Source organism: Homo sapiens, chromosome 2, assembly GCF_000001405.40.
Source record: "Homo sapiens chromosome 2, GRCh38.p14 Primary Assembly".
NCBI classification, from domain to species: domain Eukaryota; kingdom Metazoa; phylum Chordata; class Mammalia; order Primates; family Hominidae; genus Homo; species Homo sapiens.
Window position 1 is genome coordinate 119677836 of NC_000002.12, and position 22365 is coordinate 119700200.

General features: G+C 51.4%; 1 protein-coding gene and 1 pseudogene across 13 annotated transcripts in view, besides 2 other annotated features; both read left to right on the top strand.

The window, feature by feature from the left end:
* Positions 1213-1442: a silencer, noted in NCBI's record as "silent region_11910". NCBI's record gives its function as "represses an Ori minimal core promoter by ATAC-STARR-seq in GM12878 lymphoblastoid cells {active_cell/tissue: GM12878}" and the evidence as "EXISTENCE:reporter gene assay evidence [ECO:0000049][PMID:35858748]".
* Positions 1366-22365, top strand: part of TMEM177 (transmembrane protein 177) — a 44418-nt gene continuing 23418 nt past the window's right edge. Inside the window, exons 1-8 of one of the 13 annotated variants that reach the window (NR_148341.2) lie at positions 1366-1441; positions 7823-7919; positions 8918-9039; positions 11075-11140; positions 11399-11499; positions 17210-17301; positions 19145-19275; positions 20288-20350. Coding sequence is in view for 3 of the 13 variants with exons in the window: in NM_001105198.2 (NP_001098668.1) it covers positions 3019-3954 (936 nt within the window). In the remaining 10 variants the exon portion in view is untranslated. Of the gene's footprint in view, positions 1783-2996; positions 4284-7822; positions 9987-11074; positions 11141-11398; positions 12576-17209; positions 17302-19144; positions 19276-20287; positions 20351-22365 lie in introns of those variants that run through there. The other 12 variants (XR_007082535.1, XR_002959349.2, XR_007082536.1 and 9 more) reach the window with 12 other exon arrangements.
* Positions 19854-20003: a silencer, noted in NCBI's record as "silent region_11911". NCBI's record gives its function as "represses an Ori minimal core promoter by ATAC-STARR-seq in GM12878 lymphoblastoid cells {active_cell/tissue: GM12878}" and the evidence as "EXISTENCE:reporter gene assay evidence [ECO:0000049][PMID:35858748]".
* On the top strand, positions 20768-22360 carry RPL17P15 (ribosomal protein L17 pseudogene 15; annotated as a pseudogene).

The following is a 22365-nucleotide window of genomic DNA, read 5'->3' on the forward strand; positions in this document are numbered from 1 at the left end:
GTCCCCCTCCTTCCCTGTTTATGCCATTGATTTGTTGGATAAACCACGTCATTTGCCCTGTAGAATGTCCCACATTCTGGCTTTGGCTGAGGTCACATTGCACTATTTACATACAAACAACTGAGCAGCCAAAATTGGGGGGGGGGGCTCAGAAACAGAACAGACTTTAATAATAATAGCTAATGGCTAGGCGGCACAAACCGTGAGGCACAGGTTACATATACACCAACTCATTTTATCACACAGCTAGTAAGGGGTGGAGCCCGGCTTTAACCCTAGGCAGTCTGTTTTCACCCTCTGTAAAGGATTGGGCATGGCTGTGTTCCAAGAAAACTTTATTTACAAAAGCAGGTGGAGAGCTGGATTTGGTGCACAGATTAGATGATCCCTCATCTACCTCACAGAGCAGCTGGAAAGGAGAAATGACAGATGGCACGCTGCTCTGTGGACTGTACAGTGTGAAGCACCTGGGAGGAGCTTGGGGGGCAGCGAACATGGTAATAAACATAAAGCTCAGAGCTCCCCGCCAAGGGTGAGCGCTTCCAGACGGAGAAGTACACGGGCCGGCCAGTCAGATGGGCATGGGTTCTGATGGGGGCCCTGCCATAGGCCGCCTGGTGACCCACGCGGGGCTGCCGTTCCTTCGGGGGTTCAACGGCATGATCAAAGACACCGGGATGTGTGTGTGTGTGTGTGTGTGTGTGTGTGATGATCAAAGACACCGGGGTGGGTGTGTGTGTGTGTGTGTGTCATGATCAAAGACACCAGGGTATGTGTGTGTGTGTGTGTGTGTGTGGCATGATCAAAGACACCGGGGTGTGTGTGTGTGTGTGTGTGGCATGATCAAAGACACCGGGGTGTGTGTGTGTGTGTGTGTGTGTGACGGAGTCTCGCTCTGTCGCCCAGGTTGGAGTGCAGTGGCGTATTCTCGGCTCACTGCAACCTCTGCCTCCCAGGTTCAAGCGATTCTCCTGCCTCAGCCTCCCCAGCAGCTGGGGACTACAGGCGTGCGCCACCACGCCCAGCTAATTTTTGTATTAATCAAAGACGCATTTCAACGCAGAGGAGGAAGTGCTAGCGGACCCACCCCAAGGTGCACAGTTAGAGAAGGAGCCTCTGCGGCGGCCGGAGCCCCCCACGGACATCCCCTTGAGGCCCCCCCAGCCACACCCCCAAGAGTCCCGCCCCCAGACCCGTCGAGCGAGCTCCCCTCCCTGAAATCCTCGCCCCGAGATCTCCGGCCGGCGAGCTCCGCCCCCTGAAGTCCCCATCCCAAGATCCGGGGCCGGCGAGCTCCGCCTCCCGAAGTCCCCGCCCCCAGATCCCCGGCCGGCGTGCTTTGCGGCCGCCCTGCCGCGCGCACATGTAGGCGTTCCGAGCGGCGGCGGAGGTGAGCGCACGGACGAGCGGGAGGGACCCTTCTCCGGCCTGATGCGACCCGGTAACGCGTTCAGACTGCGGAGTAGCCTAGGGGCCCAGAGTGGAAGCGTAGCGAGGACCCCTCTGCGGGGCTCCTGCAGCCCCTCCTCCCCCAGCCACCGGCGGGCTGCATGGTACTGTGTTCTAGGCCCACCCCGCAGCGCGATGGCCCTAGGGACGTTGGACTTTGGTCCAGACCTTTCCTTTCTTAGCCTCACTTTCCGCATTGGGAAAAAAAAAAAGCCCGAATGATAATGATTCTTATAGGAGTTCTTGATTAAGATAGGCCAAGCGGTACCCTGCGTTTTTGTTTGCGGCAACTCATTCGTTGCTCATTAAGCACTTTTCACGGACAGGAATACAGTAAGTTTCAATCAAAGTGAAATAATTGTGAATTTTTACTGACGTATTCACGGATGAAGTGATAGGATGCCCGGGGATGTTTCAAAATAAACCAGTTGGACGGAAGTGTGGTGGAAAGAGAAATCAAACAAGATTGGCCATGAGTTGATGGGATTGAAGTTGATGGATGTACTATTTTGTCTACTTTGGTATATGCTTGTAATTTGGCATAACAAGTTTTCTAAAACAAAAAGTTTGCTGTGGACACCTGACTATGCCTGTGTTAGCTTGCTAGAGCTGCCATGCCGAAGTACCGGAGACTGGGTGGCCCAACCAGCAGAAATTTGTCCTCTGGGAGTTATGGAGGCTGGAAGTTCAAGACCAGGGTGTTAACAGGGTTGGTGTCTTCTGAGACCTCCCTTCTTGGCTTGTAGGTGGTAGCCTTTTCCCTGGATCCTCACATGATCTTCCTGCTGTGCCTGTTTGCATCCTAATCTCTTCTTATAAGTACACCAGTCAAATTGGATTAGGATCCATACTGATGGCCTCATTTTATCTTAATTATCTCCTTAAAGACCCTGTCTCCAAATACAGCCACAGTCTGAGGTACTGGGGGTTAGGACTTAAATATATGAACTGGGGAGGAGGAGGAGACACAGTGCAGCCCATAACACTGTCACTTCACTAGCTTAGGATTTTGGCCATTTAAGTTTTCACAGCTTTGAAATAGGGTTAGCTGTAGTAATTAGGTCATGGGGTTGTGAGGGTTCAATCGGTAAGAGTGCTCAGAACTGAGTCTAGCATATAGTAAGCACTCAATAAATTGAACACGTTTTTCCTTATAAATTAGTAATCATAGGGCTTTACCATGGGATGAGTGGAATGAGGCAGTTGGAGTGCCGTGCCCAGCGATGGGAATAAAAGTCATTACAGCCATTATTATAAGGAATATCTGCTGCTGTGCCAGACACTAAATGTTTTATGTATGTTTATTCATGTGCTCATCACCGCCACCCTAGAGGTGGGCCATTACGACACACCTGTTTGGCACATGGGGAAATTGACGCACAGAGACGGAGCTGGGATTTGAACACAGGCACTCTGGCTCTAGAGCCCACACTCTTCACCACTATGCTGTGTTACTTTGGTTTAAAAAGGTGGTGTGGACCCTGGAGGATGTTCAGTCTGCAGGCTGACCCAGGGAAACTGGCTGACTTCTCTTTTTCTTGGCCCAGATTGTCCGCAGTGACTACACTCATGGCAGGTCCCCTGTGGCGGACCGCAGCATTTGTGCAGAGACACAGGACAGGCCTCTTGGTGGGTTCCTGTGCAGGCCTGTTTGGAGTTCCAATCTCGTACCACCTCTTCCCGGATCCCGTGGTCCAATGGCTCTACCAGTACTGGCCTCAGGGCCAGCCAGCTCCGCTCCCTCCACAGCTGCAGAGCCTCTTCCAAGAGGTGCTACAGGACATAGGTGTTCCTTCAGGCCATTGCTACAAGCCCTTCACCACCTTCACCTTCCAACCTGTGAGTGCAGGCTTCCCAAGACTCCCTGCTGGGGCTGTGGTGGGCATCCCTGCCAGTTTCTTGGGAGACCTAGTGATCAACACTAACCATCCCGTGGTCATACATGGGCATACAGTGGACTGGCGGAGCCCAGCAGGCGCCCGGCTGAGAGCTTCCCTGACCTTGTCCCGTGAAGCCCAGAAGTTCGCCTTGGCCAGGGAAGTGGTGTACCTGGAAAGCAGTACCACTGCCGTGCACGCCCTGCTGGCCCCAGCTTGCCTGGCAGGGACCTGGGCACTGGGCGTGGGTGCCAAGTACACCCTGGGGCTCCATGCAGGCCCCATGAATTTACGGGCTGCCTTCAGCTTGGTGGCAGCAGTGGCAGGCTTTGTGGCCTACGCCTTCTCCCAGGATTCTCTCACTCATGCCGTGGAGTCCTGGCTGGACCGCCGCACGGCCTCCCTCTCTGCAGCCTATGCCTGTGGTGGAGTGGAGTTCTATGAGAAGCTTCTGTCGGGCAACCTGGCCCTGCGCAGTCTCTTGGGCAAAGACGGGGAGAAGCTGTATACACCCAGCGGGAACATCGTCCCCAGACACTTGTTCCGAATCAAACATTTACCCTACACCACCCGCCGGGACTCTGTGCTGCAGATGTGGAGGGGGATGCTCAATCCGGGCCGCTCCTGATGGGCTCATCACAAGGACACTTCCAGCTTGTGCAGACACCACCCTGCCATTGAGTCTGGAGGGCCCTGTTGGAGCCTTTGGACCTATAGCTCACGGCCAGAAAAATCACTGGCTTTGGAATTAAATAGCTTAGATTGTACTATAACCACTACTTATGAACTCAGGGACTATGAGGGACTATTCAGGGGCTATGAATCTGAGCCTTTGTTTCTTGAACTGTAAAGTGGAGATGATGTAAACCGCCTTGCAAGATTGTAGAGTTGGGTAAGGTCATGAACATAAGGGCCTGGCACAAAGGGTGCACTGTAAATAAACAGACATCCCTCCTTCTTGGTCGTTTTTTTTTTTTTTTTGAGAGCATCTCACTCTGTTGCCCGGGATGGACTGCAGTGGTGACCATAGCTCACTGCAGCCTCAAACTCCTGGGCTCAAGTGATCCACCCTCCTCAGGCTCTCAAAGTGCTGGAATTACAGGCGTGAGCCACCTCGCCCAGCCTCCTTCTTGGTCTTGAGTGCCACCAGGCTGTGGGAGTCAGGGCACACCTCAACACCAGGGTACTAGCAGTTATGTGAACACTTTCCTACAGTGAAGAACCACCCCTCAATTTAAGTGGTGGTCAAATCCCAATTTTCCTCCACTCTGTTAGAGGTTAAAAGACTAGAGAGCCCAAGATGAGAAGTTAGTGTGGTCCTGAGAGGCTGTTTTAAGGTGAGGGGGCCTTAAGAGTGTTGTGTCAGTCAAGGTCCCGTGGATGCAGATGGCACACTCAGGGAGAAGGAGACCAGCACGTGCCAGGAGAGTCCCTGGACCTGAGGGGAGGGGAGGTGTTCCAGAACTCCGAGATCTGTGGCATGGGAGACTTGGCAAGAGCTTCACTCAAATGTAGAGGAAGGAACAAACCATTGTAAGACCGAGGCCCTGCAGGGAGGGAGCCCACTGGCGCCATCCAGAGCTGTCAGCCTCCCCAGGCACAGCGTGGCCAGGGCTTGGAGAGGAGAGGCAGCAAGGTGGGGGTAAGCTTGGCTCGTAGGGGTCAGCAAGGAGAGCAGAGGGGTGGAGGTGGGCAGTGGGTTAGGCCTGGTCCCACTCAGGACCCAGGGGAGACTGCAGCCCTGCCCTGCTTATTTCCCTTGAGCCCTCCGGTGGTGGATGGAGCCGGGCCCCTGGGTTAGATCCTTGGACAGGACCACAGCAGGGCAAGGTGAGGAGAGTTGTGATCAGGGAGCCAGACCCAATTTGGCTTCATGACATCTTTTAGTTGGAGATGAGGTTTTCCCTGGGAAAGTATTTGAACACAGTGGTGGCAGGTCCTGGCAGTAGACCTGGAGAGGAGAGTGAGCCAGTGGGGCTGCAGAATGCAGTGGGAATGGCACACCTCCCTGCTGGGCCCCTCACTGTGGGCTGGAGCTCAGTGTGCTGGGCCAGCTCACGGGTCCTCACACTGGACCTGAACAGGCTGAGTTCCTGAGGGCAGCACATCCTTGCTCATTCCCCAGGCCCTGGTACCTAGGACGGCACTGGGCACGGGCTTGGAATACATAGGTGGATAGATGAGGCAGTGGCTGGGTGAACCAGTCTTCACTCAGGGACACACCATTTCATGGGGCCCCTTGGGGTGTCACCCACCTGCTGCTGCTGTACTTAAAGGGCCACAAGGCCATGTGAGGCCACCTCATTCCTGAGCAGTACGGTCTGGGGCCTGGATTTGATGGGCTCCACTTTCTCACCACTCCCACCCCCAACCCATCTGCTCTCAGTACTGCAGGAGCCATGATGGTTTCAGGCATTCCTGCTGATCTGCCCGAACCATTAGCGAAGGCAGCCTCACGATGGGGAGAAAAGGCTGCTTACTCAGCTCCCTCTGCTCCAAGTCACAGACCTTGTCTCCACTCACAGGCTGTTCCCAGTCCTCACACAAGCCTTACATGCTACCCTCCAACCTTGGCGCACACATCCTCCAGCCGTGTGTATGTGTGTGCGTGTGTGTGCGCGTGCATTGCTCCGCCTTGCTGCACTGTTCGCATCCTCCAGTCCTCCACAGCCCGGCTCAGGCCACCTCAGGCCCTCCCACTGAGAGCCCCCCTGGCAGGTTGGCTGAGCTCCGTGTCCCTTCTTCCCCCTCCCACCCTCCCACTGCATGACTCACCCAGCACCCAGCCTTGGTGCTTTCCCTCCCAGTAGCTCTCGGCTCCATCCCCTTTTCTTCATCTCCACTGGGCCTCCTGACTCTTCTCCCAGTTCTCCCAGCTCCTGGAAGTGCAGGTTTGACTGGGTGACTCTCCTGCCTAAAGCCCTTTAGAGACATCCCCATGCTTTCTGGCGAAAACCGCATCTCCTGCCCATCCGTGTCCCACTTTCCCTTGCTCTGGATCCTAGCCTCACTGCAGTTTGGTTCCTGAACTGCTCTCCCCTCCTGCCCACACAGCTTTCGTGTTCGCTGTGTCCTTGATCTGGGCTGCGGTCTCACAGCCTGCCCGGTGCTCAGTTATTTAGTGTTCCTCCTGCTGGAATGCCCAGGGGAAACTGTTCACTCACACGTTGCTTCTCCCAGGGAAGCCTCCCTGTCTCACGTCAGATGCCCGTTTATACACTGTCATACACCCAATACCTCTTCCTCGCCCTACTGCTGACTAATTAAGTTACCGTGGAGCTAGCGGCTTAGCATCTCCTCCACTGAAATGTAAAATCTGCAGTGGCAGGATCGTGTATCTTGTTTACAGCTCTAAATTGAGGCTCTCCATAATATTTATTTTTTGCAGTTTCAGTAACTAGAAACAATATTTTTTCATAAATGAACAGGGCTCTAAGCTATAACAGACACAGCCCCAGCTTCCTAAAAGCCTCTGAGCAATTACAGCAAGGCTGGTTGCATTCCTTGTATGCGGCCATTCTGAATCCTATCCGACCCTGTCCTGTTTCCCACCTTGGGACTTGCCAAGGACAGAGCCTGGCCCTAGTCATCCATGATTGCTGACATCAGTGGGGAAATCAGGACACTTCTGGGTCACTTCCTGTAGGGCACAGATTACTACCTAGGGCACCAGGGACCCTGGCTTTAGGAAGATTTTTTTATAATATTGCGTCCCTACACACAGGTCAGAGGTTGATCTCAGAAAGGTGAAGAAACATGCTCTAGGGCTTTGTCGCTAAGTTGGGTGGTAGGCAGCTGCCTTGTAACTGTCACCCTGCACTTTTCCTTCTCCCATGCCTGCTGTGTGCTGGAATCATTAGCACTCTGTCCTAGATCCCTTGTGAACATTGTTCTCCTGGCTTAGGCCTCGCCTCTCCCCATCCCAGGTTCATGGTTCTGTGGGTATGAACCTGCAAGGATGCCCGACATCCCAGAGCAACCAAAAACAGACCCAGGACTTGGCTGACTTACAGAAAACTACAACACACAAAGACTCCCCCTCCTCAGCCCGCCCCCCCCCCCCTTTGCAGGCACACACACACACACACAAACACACACACACACATCTGGATACAGCCAGAATACAGGGAGGGGAGTCTCAGAGTCATGGCGCTGATGCTGGCTCTGCTCTTCACTGACCCTCCTAGCCCTGCTGCCTCAGTCCCCACCAGTGTCCACAATGCAAGGTTCCACTCAGCCTTGCCTGGAGCTGGGCGCGCACACACACACACAAACCTGATCCCCATGTGTGTGTAGATCACAGGCTGAGTTCCAGATCAATGCATGGGTCCTCACCCGGCGAGGCCTCCTGCCTGTCTCCTCCCCACCATGTCCCTATAGTAACATAATGGGGCCTTTATTATCCTCCAGACACTGTGCTAGGTTTTTAGAGACATTTTCTCATTTATTCCCAATTGGGGCATGTGGTTGGTAATATTATTATTTCAATTTTACAGGAAAGGGAACATCACAGAAAGGTGAAGAAATTTGCCCTAAATCATAAAACTTTGTAAGTGGCAGAACAAGGATTTGAAGCTGGCAGTCTGGTTCCAGGTATCGTTCTTAAAACACTAAATTTATACTGTCCTATTTAGCCTGAAAGTTTCATGGTGCAGACTTATACTGTGGACTCCATAGCCCTTTTCCTCATGCTGGGTTAGAAGTAACTTTTTCAGGCTCACTATTTTTATTAGGAAAAAATAGTCACTGAGCAGAACTTCCGAGGAGACCCCTCCAGCTAACTGAAGAGAAAGGGACAACCAGCCTACCATGTTTAGTGCAGCAGGGGGAACAGGACGGAAGGGCAGGGTGTCATGGAGCTCTAGGAGGCACCAGCTGAGGAAAGGGGATCTCAGGAGGTAGGGAGAGAGCAGAGTGGGCAGCCAGCTGTGGGTTCAAATCCTGGCCTACCACTTTAACAGGGCGATCTGGAACAAGTGACTTCTGGTCCTGAGTTTCCTGTCTGTAAAATGGGTGCATTCCTATCTATCTTTCAGGATTGTTTTGACGATGAAAGTGAAAGAAAGTTTGCAAAATGTGGAGCCTGGTGAGGGCATATAGTAGGCTTTAAAAAAAAGATTGATTTTCTAAATGTTAGTGCTCCTAAATGGCATAAGGTGTTCAGGTCTTGGAGTTGCTGCCCAAATACCAGCAATTTCCAGAGAACTCGCTGCTGCCTAATACAGCTTTATTTTAAAGCTTTTCAAAGCCCCAGTTCAGTTAGGGCAGTTTTCCCAGTGGCTATCAGTTGGCATCTTCTGGAAGGTACTTGGCAGCAGCTGAAAGCAGAGGACACATGTGGCCTTAGGGGGAAACACCAGGCTGGAGAAGAGGGCATTAGCGTGGACGGTGGTCCTTTACACCTACTCTACAGGGAATGTTTTTCTTTTTCTTTCTCTCTCTTTCTTTTTTTCTTTTCTTTTTCTTTTGAGAAGAGTCTTACTCAGCCTTGGCCTCCTGGACTCAATCAACCCTCCCACCTCATCCCCCTAGTACTGGGAATACAGGTGTGCACCACCATGCCCAGCTAATTTTTTTTTTCTTTGTTGTAGAGATGGGGTTTTACTATGTTACCCAGGCTGGTCTTGAACTTCTGTTCTCAAGAGATCCACACACCTCAGCCTCCCAAAGTGCTGGGATTACAGGCGTGAGTCACTTCACCTGGCCCATACTGGTAATTTTAAAATACTAAAGCATTAAGTGTTAGTAAGGTTGTAGTAAAATTGATACAAGCATATGCCCTTGGTGACATTTGTGTTAGGCAGCTTTTAAGATGACCCTAATGATCCCTGGTCCTAATATTTTTGGCCCTGGTTCATAATCCACTCCCCTTGCTCCTCTTGGTTCTAAACAATAGAATACAGATATACATTGAGGGTATATCACCTCAGTGATTAGATTACAACAGATTATGACTTCTGTCTTGCTAAGAGGCCCTTGTCTTCTTGGCTTCACATGTTTTATCTTGAAGCACGTTGCCATGTTGGAGAGACCCACATGGCGAGGAACTAAAGGCAGCCTCTGAGCAAACAGCCAGCTAACAGCTGGGGCCCTTGGGCCACAAGGCACTGAATCCTACCAAGAACCGTGTGAGCCTGGAATAGAATCCTTCCCTACTCAAGCTTTCAGATGAGACTGCATGTATTAATCCATTCTCATGCTGCTATGAAGAAATACCCAAAACTGTGTGATTTATAAAGAAAAGAGGTTTAATTAACTCACAGTTCCACATGGCTGGGGAGGCCTCAGGAAACTTACAATCATGGCAGAAAGCACCTTTTCACAGGGCAACAGGAGAGAGAATGAGTGTCAGCAGGGAAAATGGAAGTAGAAAATCATCAGATCTCTTGAGAACTCACTCGCTATCATGAGAACAGCATGGGGAAACCATCCCCATGATTCAGTTACCTCCTACCAGGTCCCTCCCGTGATACATAGGGATTATGGGATTACAATTCAAGATGAGATGTGGGTGGGGACACAAAGCCAAATCATAGCACCCCAGCCTCAGCCAGCACCTTCACTGCAGCCTTGAGAGCCCCTGGAGCAGAGAAGCAGCTAACCTGTGCCTGGATTCCTGACCCACAGAAACAAGAAGACAATAAATCCATGTTGTAGTAAGCCATTTGGTGTGGTAACTTGGTATGCAGAAATAGATAACTCATACTCTTTATTAACTGGCATAATGTTTTTGGAAAGCAATTTGGCAAAACTTGATACAATCATAAAAGTTTATCTTTTGACCCAGTAATTTCAAACCTATGTATTTCCTAGGGCTGTAACCCCATAGAAACTGAATACTACATGCCCAAAGAGGTACATAAAAGCATTAGATATAAATACAACAAAATGACAATAATGGAAATGTTGAATAGCAGTGACTTTGGAAGTATCCACTTGTTGAACATTTTCAGCCATTAAAAAGTATAATTATGAAGACTACAGTAGAAGCATGGGGAAATACTAGTTATAAATATCAAATCTTTTTTTAAAAATGAGGTACAATCTGCATGGTGATTGCAATAATGTAAACATGGTAAAACCTAGGAGGAAATTCACAAAATGTAAAGTAGTTGTGTTATAGGGGAATTTTAAGTGATTTTATGAATTCAAATAATAAGGACTTAGCACTATATATATTTACGGTCACGCATCACTTAACGACAGGGATATGTTCTGAGAAATGCCTTGGAAGGCAATTCCATCTTTGTGTGAACATCATAGTGTACTTACACAAACCTGGATGGCACAGCCTCCTACACACCCAGGCTAGATGGTGTCACCTTTGCTACTGGGCCCCAAACCTGTAAAGCACGTTGTTGTGCTGAATACTGTGGGTAGCTGTAACGCAATGGTGAGGATTTGTGTATCAAAACATAGAAAAGTAAAAATACAGTAGTATTAATCTCATGGGACACTGTCATATACGTGGTTCCTCGCCGACTGAATGTCATCATGCAGCGTGTGACTGTGTGTAAGCATGAAGGCCTACTCAGAGGTACCCTGGACCTCCACCCTCTCCCTGCATCAAGGTGACAGATTCTGGCATCCCTGCTTCTGGCCCTGCATTCTTGGGGCATGGCCAGCCTTCTGTCTGTCGGTTACTGTGGTGCCCATGAAAATGTGCCACTCAGACCTGCTGCGGAGCGGATTTGACTGACAGCCCCAGCTGCTGTTTCTCTCCGTCCACCCATGCTTTGCCTCCACAGGCTGCTTTCCACCAGCGATGGAGCGTGGGGACAGTACTGCTGCAAGTGGATCGTGGGACTCCTCCAGTAGGTGACTGTGGCTCGAGAACTCCCCAGTGGCCTGGGCAAGCCTTTCTCAGAACTGCTCTGAAGTCTGAGGCCCATCCTCCCCACTCCTCCACAGATGTCACACCTGTACTGTGGTCTGAAGGATCTCCCTGCCTTCTATCCCCTCCTTCTTTGTCCTTCACAGGCGGTTCCCCCAATATGGCTCTTACTCATGCAATCCTGTCTTTGTGTCTGGTTCTCAGAGGACCTCCACTAACACGGTTACTCCTCACTCAGTCAGGTGCAGTGTGAGGTCCTGGGGACACTTGCTGTGAGTACCCTCAGCCAGCTCAGAGTTCTACCGAAGAGACTGACAAGTACACCTGCAGTGACAACACGTGAGTTCAGTGCTGTGAAGATGTGTGAGGGAGCATAGGAGGAGGGCAGCCAACTCAGCTGGGATGGGAGGTAGTCAGGGAGGACTTCCCAGGAGAGGTGACCCTGTTGCTGAAACCCCTACGAGTGAATGGAAGGAAGTCAACAACAATAATACCAAACACTTATTTAACACTTATTTTGTGCCAAGTGCTTTACATATAAGAACTCATAAAATTTCCACAACAATCCTATTATCCCCATCTTACAGGTAGGGAAATCAAGGCATAAAGAAGTCGAATGGCTTCTCACCAGCCAGTGCTGGGCTTGGGAACTGAACCCAGGCAGTCTGGCTCTAATGCCTGTGCCCTTAACCACTCCACCTTCACTTAGGCAAGTGAAACTGGCCATGGGAACAGCCTGTACCAAGCCAGGAATGAGACAGTTTATGTAGGCTTTATCAGGGTCCAACCAAGAGATTGAAACCACACTGTAATGTGAACAGAGAGAATTTAATATAAAGGATTATTATTCTATAAGGAATATTATTACTATTATAACAACAGAGGGTTGGAGTGATGAGGACTGGCTTGTAAGAAGTCCAGAGCCACCTGGACTCAGAGCCACCCTAGCTTTGGATTTCTTCCAGTCTCAGCCCCCTAGAGCCCTTGCTCCCCAAAGAGCCTTGCTCCCCGCTAGAGGTCAAAGGTAAGTCATAGCAATGGACCCAGACTCTTGTTATTACCCATGACATGGTTTGAATCTGTGTCCCCAACCAAATCTCATGTTGAATTGTAATCCCCAGTGTTGGAGGTGGGGCCTGGTGGGAGGTGATTGGATCGTGGGGGTGGCTTCTAATGGTTTAGCACTGTCCCCCTGGTGCTGTCTCATGAGTTCTCACGAAATCTGGTTATTTAAAAGTATGTGGCACTTTCCCCTTCGCTCTCTCCTTCCTGCTCCAGTCGTGTAGGACGTGCCTGCTTCCCCTTCACCTTCCGCCATGTTTGTAAGTTTCCCGAGGCCTCCCCAGAAGCCGTCATGCTTCCTGTACAGCCTGTGGAACCATGAGCCAGTTAAACCTCTTTTATTTATAAATTTACCCAGTCTCAGGTAGTTCTTTATAACAATGCGAGAATGAACTAATACAGCCCACCCCTACCCCATACCTCTCCTACCCTCTCCCCAGCAGGCTGTGAGGACAGGGTGCTCATGCCAAACCCTGAAAGCATTACAAAGGCTGCAGGGCCTAAGCTGGGGCCTGGGCCTGAGGAGCAAACTGAGGAGCAGAGCCCACGTGGAGAGAGGGAGGGAGCCGGCGTCCACATGCCACACGGACGGCAGTGTCACTGCTCTATCATCACATCCTGCGTGTTTATAGACTTCATTGTCATCATCAAATGAGACCTGCCAGAGTCTTAACCCCTTGACGCTGGCTCGCTAGTTAAGCGCGGACAGCTCACAGCCTGGCTGGAATTATGCTCGCTTTTACCCATCCGCATCAGGTGGACACTTTCAGCTCACTGGCTTGGTTTTCCAAGACCTGAAATCAACGTCAGTGTTGAATTTTCCCTAATTTTATCCACTTGTGAAAGACCAAAGTCCTAGCCCTTTTCCCCCACAGCAGGGACACCCTCACTTTCCCAGGTCCCTGGGCTGGTCCACTTCAGGGTTAAGCACAGCAGATTGGGAAGGCCCTTCTGGTTCCATAGCTGTGAGCAGCTCTGCAGGCCTGAAGCATGCATGTCTTTGTTGATTTTCTGAGGCAGGAAGGATCTGGAATCAGAGTCCTGGAAGCCTGGAGTCCACTGAGGTGCCCTTGCCGGGGGGCAAATCTGTGGGCGCCTCTCCAGGCAGCCTCTGGCCTCAGAGCCAGACCACCCGGGCTAAGATCCCGGCTCTGCAACTCACTGCTGTGGGCACGTTCCTGAGCTTCTCCGTGCCTCAGCTTCCCTCATATGTAAATGGGAATAATGACAGTGCCCAGCCCCTGGGGTTGGTTTGAGTGAATATTTTTAAAGCACCTTGGACAGTGCCTGGCACAGAGTTAAAGCCTGAGGAAACGGAGCATAGTTTCCATTCACCAGTCATTGCCCAAGGTGCAGTTGTCAAGCAGTGACTGAATTAGAGCTGGCCCAGGGTGATACTTTTGGAGATGTCTCAGGTGGCAGGGAGGTGAGTCAGGGTTGGCAGCACTGCCTCACACAACATTCTCAAGCACCCAGTACGGTTTTATTGATGTTGCTGACGCCCCTGCCAGCTGGGACCTCTGTAAGGGGCAGCAGTGGGCCACATCCACCTCTTCTTCCCAGTACTGGACCATGTCGCTGTTCAGGAAGTGTTTGCTGGACACATGACCTGTGTGAGAGAAGGGAAGGGAGTGTGGCGTGTGGGGAGGCCCCAGAGGTCCTGACGTGTCAAGGTCAGTTCAGCACACACTTCTCTGGGGGCCACATGGGAGAGGCTGCTGCGGCAAGGCCTGCAGACCCCAGTCTTGTCCCCTCTGGATTAGGCTCCTCTGAAAGGTCCCCATCACCTGGTGACATTGCTGTGGCAGCAGCTGGAGGCTGCCCTCAGCCACCGATCCCCAGGTCCGGAGCCACGTGCCCACGTCCTGACACCTGATTGTCCTGTGCTGGTCCCTGCAGATGGCCCAGCCTCGCAGTCTGGACTCCACCCCTGCAGAGGAAGCACAACCGATGTCACAGGTGCAAAGACCACTCGGGAGCTGGGCCACAGCTTCCCATCCTGTCCCGTCAGTGCCTCCCTCTCCTAAGCCTGGAGACCCTTCACTTCCTCTACCTCCTAACAACTCCTGTTGGAGCCATTTTGAATGCAGCCCTAAGGCTTTCCTTGTCAGCCAAATGGGTGTCAGAAGCCATCTGTGCCTGAGCTGGTGGCAGCTGGTGGGAAAATGCTTGCATCCATATGAATCGATTTTGTTTTGCCTCCTAAGATCTTCAGTTGAGCAAGAGGAGATTTGCTGAATTTTTCAGAGGTTGCATTAACCTGGGGAAGGCGGAACTGACAGCCCAGCAAAGGGCAGGAGGAAGAAAGCCTGGACACAGCTAGAGAGATCCAGCCAGTGTGAAGGCCTGTGGCCCGAGGAGGGAGCCGTGAGGTGTAGCCCAGGCCATGTCCCCAGGCGAACAGCAGCTCCCACCAACCCCTGACGAGGTCGGCGCTGGGGTGGCCCTCCACAGAGGTGGCAGAGTTGGCTTTTGGTGCCTCACCTGAGGTGAAGCTTCCCTTTGGCCTGTTCTGCCCAGCTCCATGCTGGAACTTCTTTCAGAGAACAACATCCCAGCTCCCACACAGTGCCTCAGGCTGTTTCCTCACCTTCTCATTCAGCCACCATGAATCCTTTAGAGAAAGGCAGGTAGGCTGGGTGTGGTGGCTCACGCCTGTAATCCCAGTACTTTGGGAGGCCAAGGCAGGTGGATCACTTGAGGTCAAGAGTTTGAGACCAGCCTGACCAACATGGTGAAACCCCATTTCTACTAAAAGTACAAAAATTAGCCGGGTGTGGTGGTGGCACCTGTAATCCCAGCTACTCTGAAGGCTGAGGTGGGAGAATCGCTTGAACCCGGGAGGCAGAGGTTGCAGTGAGCCGAGATCACGCCACTGCACTCCAGCCTGAGTGACAAAGCGAGATTGTCTCAAAAAAAAAAAAAAAAAAAAAAAAAAAAGGCAGGGATTTGTCCCCAGGTCCCTGTGGAAAGCAGTGGCTCAGAGAGGTTAGGTCCACTACACAAAGCTGAAGGCAGTGGGGCCGGCATGGGGACCTGTAGCATCCACACGTGAAGCCTGTGCTGTTTCCCTGTCCAGGTTGTGTCCACAGTGAGGAGGTAGGGGGTCACAGGTCAAGGCCGTGGCCGCAGTGAGGAGGTAGGGGCCACAGCAGCACCCTTTTGTGGAGCAGCAAAGCCCCCCTGGAGACCCTGGGGTGCCCCACCCTGTAGTAGGGTGCTTTTGGGGAGTGGGTTTGACGCAGTAGCACACAGGGCACCCAGGAGCCCTGAATGGGCATCTCAGTCATGCGGTCACTGTTCTGTCCTTGTATGACAGAGCTGGCCAGAGGCCTCATTGCTAAAGATCGGTCTCTCCTAAAACTTCCTCCGAGAGGAAGATGCGGAGTGAAGTTGGGTCAGGTTTTGGAGAAGGAGCGTCTGCACCACCTGGCCCTTGTTAAATGCAGTCTCAGGCTGGCCTGGGAGCCACTCAGACCGTCCACAGGCAAGATCCAGAGGCTGCTGTCTGCACAAGCTTCTCTCTGAGCTGACCCGTGTGTGTCCTAGAGGTCAAGATTCACTACTTTTAGGGAAGCCAACACTGAGGCTGACATTCTCTAAATACCTGGGGGCAGAGCCTCTCAAGCCCATGCAGCCTGAGGAAAAAGGCCTCAGCCACACCTGAAGCAAAGGGCTCCTGTGGGTGCCACGTGACCCACCCACATGACCGCTGCCCACCAGCTGCAGTCACAGAAGACACACATACACATCACACATATCACACACAAACATACCACATACACATCACACCACACACATCACATGCCACAAACACAACACACAAACATACCACATACACCACACATCACATACACATCACACATGCCACACACATCACACAAGCCACACACACATGCAACATACCACACACAAACACATACCACATACACCACACACCACATACGCATACACATTACACATACCACACATATGACACATACCACACACATCACGCACATGCAACATACACACACAACATACACACCACACACATGGCACACACAAACACATACCACATGCACCACATGCCACGCACATTGCACGTACCACACACATGCAACGTGCCACACAACACACAAACACACCACACACAACATACCATGCACACACAACACAAACACATACCACATACATATCACACTTACCACACATGTGCAACATACTACACCTGTGTGGTATACCACACACACACACACACACACACTATACCTCCACACACACCACTCACCTCACCTCACACACACACACCCACACACACACACCCCTCAGGCAGCATTTGGAAGTCCAGCCTAAATAAGGGTGATGTTAACTCACTGCCCCCACCAGATTCTCAGCATATCTGAAGCAGAGGTGTGGGGAGAGTGGGTCAGCTCTTAGTAGGGCCTTAGGGCCCCTCAGAGACAGCAGGGCTGGAGTTTAGTGCAGGAGCGGGCTCTGCCCTGGACCCTGTGTGTGCAACAGTGCTGTTGGCCGGGCACTGTCCCCATCCTCCTCCTGGCCCCTTTGAAGGTAGGTGTGGCCACATGACTGCTCTGGCCGGTGGATTTCATATGCGCAGGGTCACTTCCCCGCGAAAGCATTTGAGAGCCAAGGTGCCCTTCTCTGTCGTACACGCCCCTGATGGGGCCCCAGACCTTGGGCCCCCGGTGAGGGTGGCGGGGAGCAGAGCCCACTGCATCATGTGCTTGTGTCAGGGCAATAAATAAGCCTCTGTACTTTTAAGGCCCAGATTTGGGAGTTGCTACCACAGCATCACCTACCCCAGCCTGCTTATATGCCACACTTAGGAGCCAAACCACCACAAGGGCTCACTCACTCTATTTGGACAATTCATGTCATTTGGGCACTAAGCTAGAAGGACGTGTGGAGTGGCTCATTAAGCAGAGGTGAGAATTCTGCTCCTGGGAGGCAGCGCTGCAAATTTTTAATGCTTGGGTCTTTACAGCTCAGTGTCAGCGGATACGGCAAAGCCCTTCTGAAAAACAAACATCGGGCAATGATTGTGCAACACAGCTGCTAAAAATCCTTCATTTCTGGGTAGGAAAGAGTCTCTCTGTGTCCTTTCCATTGAAAGAGCATAAGCTCAACGAAGGTGACAGCCCCGGAATGTGGACAAATGGGACTGGGAAAACGCCATGTCTTCATTCTCTATCCCTCCCCCACCTTTCACACCCAGCCCTTTGAAAAGCAGAAAGCAATGCACAGATGTAAGGAGCTGTTTTCATTCTTGTGGTTACGAGCCCTCCCCTCTGTTCCCATGGCAGCCTGGCACACTCTGCCATGCACTTTTCACACTGCATTTTGTCTGCTTCCTTGTCTGTCTCTCCCAACTGGGCTGTGAATGTCTCACAGGCAGGGCCTGGCCTTCCTTCTTGCATCCTGGGCACCTGGCTGGGCACCTGGTCCGCTGGAGTGCTCAGTGACTGGTGAGTGGGTGGGGGATATGGGAGATGGAGCAAGGGCAGAGAGGTGGGGAGGAAGCGCCATGGAGGGAGGCCTGCGGGCTGAGAATCCAACCCAAAAGCATTTTGTGAGCACCCGCTATGTACAAGCCACAGCGCAAGGCTCTGGGGAAAAGTCCAGATTTGTAAGACATATTTATCAGTTTGTAAACACTCTCATATATGTTATTTTTTTGAACTTCACAGCACCCTGGGGTGGTAAATTGTACACAGTTGATCCTCTTTTGAGAGTGGATTTACAGAGTTGATGTGGTGTATAGCACAAATGGCAGTGGCCTTGACCGTGCATCTTGCTTTGAGTCCTGGCATTGCCCCCATCCAGCTGTGTGGCCTTGGGAAGCCTCAGCAGCAAAAGAAGGGGACTGGCTCTGCAGGGGCCCACTGCAAGCATGGCCCAGCCTGGCCTGAAACCTAGGACTGTTTGATTTACCCAACAAAAGGTGTGCAGCTGCCCTGAGTCTGTGGGCAAGCTCAGACCTCAGGGGTGAGCCACACTAGGGAGAGGCGCAAGGGGCTGTGACCATCTCATCTCTGTGGCTGCAGACCATCCTACAGGGCCTGGCCCAGGAGGCATGCAGTGAATTAATGCATGAGTGAGGTATAGGCAGCCTGAATGGGGACAGTGTTCAGAAATCCCAGCTGTTCAAAAGCATGAGGGCAGAGCTCAGTCCTCAGGGATTAAACTAGAACCAAGGGAAGAGTGTAGCTGGGTGGCAGCTGTTGAGGTCATTATTGAGGGTACTGTAAACCCCAGTAGGACTAGACCTGGGGAGAAGGTCTGTTGCTGGTATTATCATTTGTCACGGACCTCATGGTGACCACGGTGTGGGGGCAGTGCTTCACACAAACCTGCCACATCCCTACCACCAACCCTTCATTTATTAGCACACATTTATTGAACATCTGATATGTGCCAGGCTCTGTTCTGGGCCCTAGAGAAATCACAATGGATAAAAATGCCTGCTCTTATATTCTAGTGAGAGGCACAGCCAATAAACAAGGAATAAGTCATTATAGAGCATCCAGGATGATAAGCAGGGCAGCAGTGGGACAAGGGATGGGAAGGGCTGGGTATAGGGGGCAGATGCATTTCTCAACAGTGTGGCCAAGGACAGCCTACACTGAGAAGGTGACGATGGAGCAAAGAGGAAGTGAACCAAGTGGAAATCCGGGGAAAGAGCATTCCAGGCAGAGGGGAGACAAGGGCAGAGGCCCTGAGGCAGGAGCGGGCCTGGCACATTTGAAGTTGGAGCAGGGAGGTCGGGGAGGCAGGGAGAAGTGGAAATGACGTTGGGGAGGTGGGGGAAGGGGCCAGATTGTATAGGGTCTTGTGAAGGATGGACAGGAGTTTTCCCCACCTGTGTCTGGAAGCTTTTGTTCTAGCTTCACTCTGTTGTTGAAATCCATTGTCTCTCCAGCTACTCCGGTCTCTGAGGGAAGCACCCTGCCCTGGGGAAATTCTCACATGGCCAGACACAGACCTGGCTGACCAGCTGCAGGCTGGTGCTGACAGTTCCAGCACACCTTGGCTTCCTCAAGAGATCCAAAGGTACAGTTCCCAGAGGTGCTGGTCACACTCAACTTGCCTTGAATTGAACCACAACAAAACACGGAACCAAACTCCTAAACAGGACTGCAGGGTCAGGGTCTGCCTCCACTTCCCGTCTCCACATGTGCCTGCTTTAGGGATCCAGCTCTGTAGAAGTACAGGCTATTTGGTCAGGTGCTGTGGCTCATGCCTGCAATCCCAGCACTTTGGGAGGCCAAGGCTTGTGGGTCACTTGAGCCTAGGAATTTGAGATCAGCCCAGGCAACATGGTGAAACCCCATCTCTACTAAAAATATAAAAATTACCCGGGCTTGGTGGTGTGTGCCTGCTCAGGAGGCTGAGGCGGGAGAATCACTTGAACCTAGGAGGCGGAGGTCACAGTGAGCTGAGATGGAGCCACTGCACTCCAGCCAGGGCAACAGAGAGACTCTATCTCAAAACAAAACAAAACGAAGTCCAGGCTATTCTTTCTTACCTCCAGATATTTGCACATGTTGTTCCCTCTGCCTAAAGCACTGCAGGCCCCCCTTCCCAGAAAACTACTCGATTCCTCACCCCTCCCCTCTGTCTGTGCTGTCGTGGCTCCCTCAGCTTCCTCTCTCTCTCTCACTCTGGATTCCTTGCTTTCTGTCTCCCTCCTCTTCACAGCAACCTCGCTGAGGGCTTCCCCTCCACCCTCTGAAGGTTCACTGAAATGAACCGATACTAGACAGATTAAAGGCATGCAAATGTATGAATGTGCAAGTATGCACAGGAGCCATACAAAATATGAGGCTCAAAGAAGGGCCAGATGGCTGGAGCTTAAATAGCACCCTCTTCATAGGGGAGAGGGAGGTGGGGGAACATAGGCAATTTTGAGGCATAATAAATTATTTTTAGGGGAAATGAATGAGCCTAAAAAGCAGACAATAGCCTGGGATGAAGTTCCTCTGAGCTCCAGGGGAGGCAATGCCAACTTGCAGGAAGGTGAGGGCAGAACTTCACGGTGAACAAAGGTTGCCTTATTTTGCAGGCAAAGTCTCCCCGGTAATCTCTTGGAGTGGCCCTCAGAAGAACAGATGAAAAGTCTGCCTGGGTGTGGTAGCAACTTTTATTCTTTTCTCTTCTCCCGTGGTTAATCTTTCCGCTTATTTGATGAGATTCCTAGGAAGGGGGTCAAAGTGTTCCTTCTGGAGGGAACTTCAGAGAGATCCCCTCCCTGCACAGTTGGGGGAAGAAACAAGAGAAGGCTAGAAAGTCTTTGGTTCTGAGACCGCTTCTAAGGCCTTCCAACTTCCTTTCATTTAAAAGTGCTCAGCACACCGAAGCACCATACTTTGAGGTATAATTTTCTGAGCCCCAGCAGCTTGCACACAGGTGCCAAGACATCCTGGCTGAACAACAGGAGGTAAGGAAGCAAGTTATTGGCTCACTGGTTCTAATGACCAAACTTCAGGGTGAAGAGGAACCTAGGATGGAAGTGAAACAGCAGATGGGGGTCTTCTCCTAAGTGGCTTGAGATGATCTGTGAAAATGGTTCGCTATTCATTTGACCCAGAAAACCCTACTAAATCTTGCAAATCAAGGTGTTTCCATCTTTGTGTTCACTTTAAGAACACTCTTGAGACTGGGCGTGGTGGCTCACGCCTGTGATCCCAGCACTTTGGGAGGCCGAAGTGGGTGGATCACCTGAGGTCAGGAGTTCGAGACCAGCCTGGCCAACATGGTGAAACCCCGTCTCTACTAAAAATATAACAATTAGCCAGGCGTGGTGGTGGGCACCTGTAATCCCAGCTACTTGGGAGGCTGAGGCAGGAGAATTGCTTGAACCCAGGAGACGGAGGTTGCAGTGAGCCAACACGATGCCACTGCACTGCAGCTTCGGCGACAGAGTGAGACTCTGTCTCAAAACCAAAAGAAAGGACACTTGTGAAACTGCCCAGGTCATCAAGGGTGTGCTTATATGAAAAGCCACGAAGTGTCTGAACGATGTCACTTTACAGAGACAGTGTGTACCTGTATTAGTTCGTTTTCACACTGCCATAAACAACTGCCCCAGACTCGGTAATTTATAAAGGAAAGTGACTCACACAGTTCAGCATGGCTGGGGAAGCCGCAGGAAACTTACGTTCATGGCAGAAGGCGAAGGGGAAGCAAGGACTTATTCAACAAGATGGCAGGAAGAGAAGTGCCAAGTGAAGGGGGAAGAGCCCCTTATAAAACGATCAGATCTCGTGAGAATTCACTCACTATCACAAGCACGGCACGGGGGAACCGCCCCCATGATCCAATCCCCTCCCACTGTGGCAGGACTTTTCCTTAGTTCAGCTAAAGACAGGGCTCTTTGTCCCACAGCTACGAAAATTCAGGCTCGCAGACAATTTGAATGGTGAGTAAGACAGGGTTCCATTGTCTTGTTAGGCTAGAGTCCCTACTAGGGTGCTTCCCACCCGCAGCTAGAATCCCAGGTTCCACACAGGAAGAGGAGGGGCCAGGCTCCTCCCCACTGCAAAAGGAGTGAATTTCCCAAGGCTCCACCCCAGGGTGCAAGCCGGTTGGAGTTTTTCCAGGGACCCCCTCCCACCTGGCTGTCTCACCAAGAGGTCACTCCCCCAACACATGGGGATTACAATGCAGATTACAATTCAAGATGAGATTTGGATGGGGACACAGAGCCAGACCATATCAGTGCCATTCTGATGTTACAATGGGGGAGTTGGTAGTGCCCAGGCCAAGAAGTGAGGCTGGACACAAGGTCAGTGGTCCAAAAAGAGTGCTGAGTTTTTGTTGCACTAGCTTAAAAATGCAGAGAGCAATGCTGAACTTAAGGGTTTAGATGTAGATTCTTTGGTCATTGAGCACATCCAGGTGAATAAAGCACGTAAAATGCCCCTCCAGACTTAGAGAGCTCATGGTTGATTAACCCACACATGAGCTCTCCCTGCCACATCGAGATCATCCTTACTGAAAAGGAACAAATTGTTCCTAAACCAGAAGAGGAGGTTGCCCAGAAGAAAAAGTTAGCGCAGAAGAAACTAAAGAAACAAAAACGTATGGCTCTGGAATAAATTCAGCATAAAATAAATGCAATTAAAAGGAAACAGAAAGAAA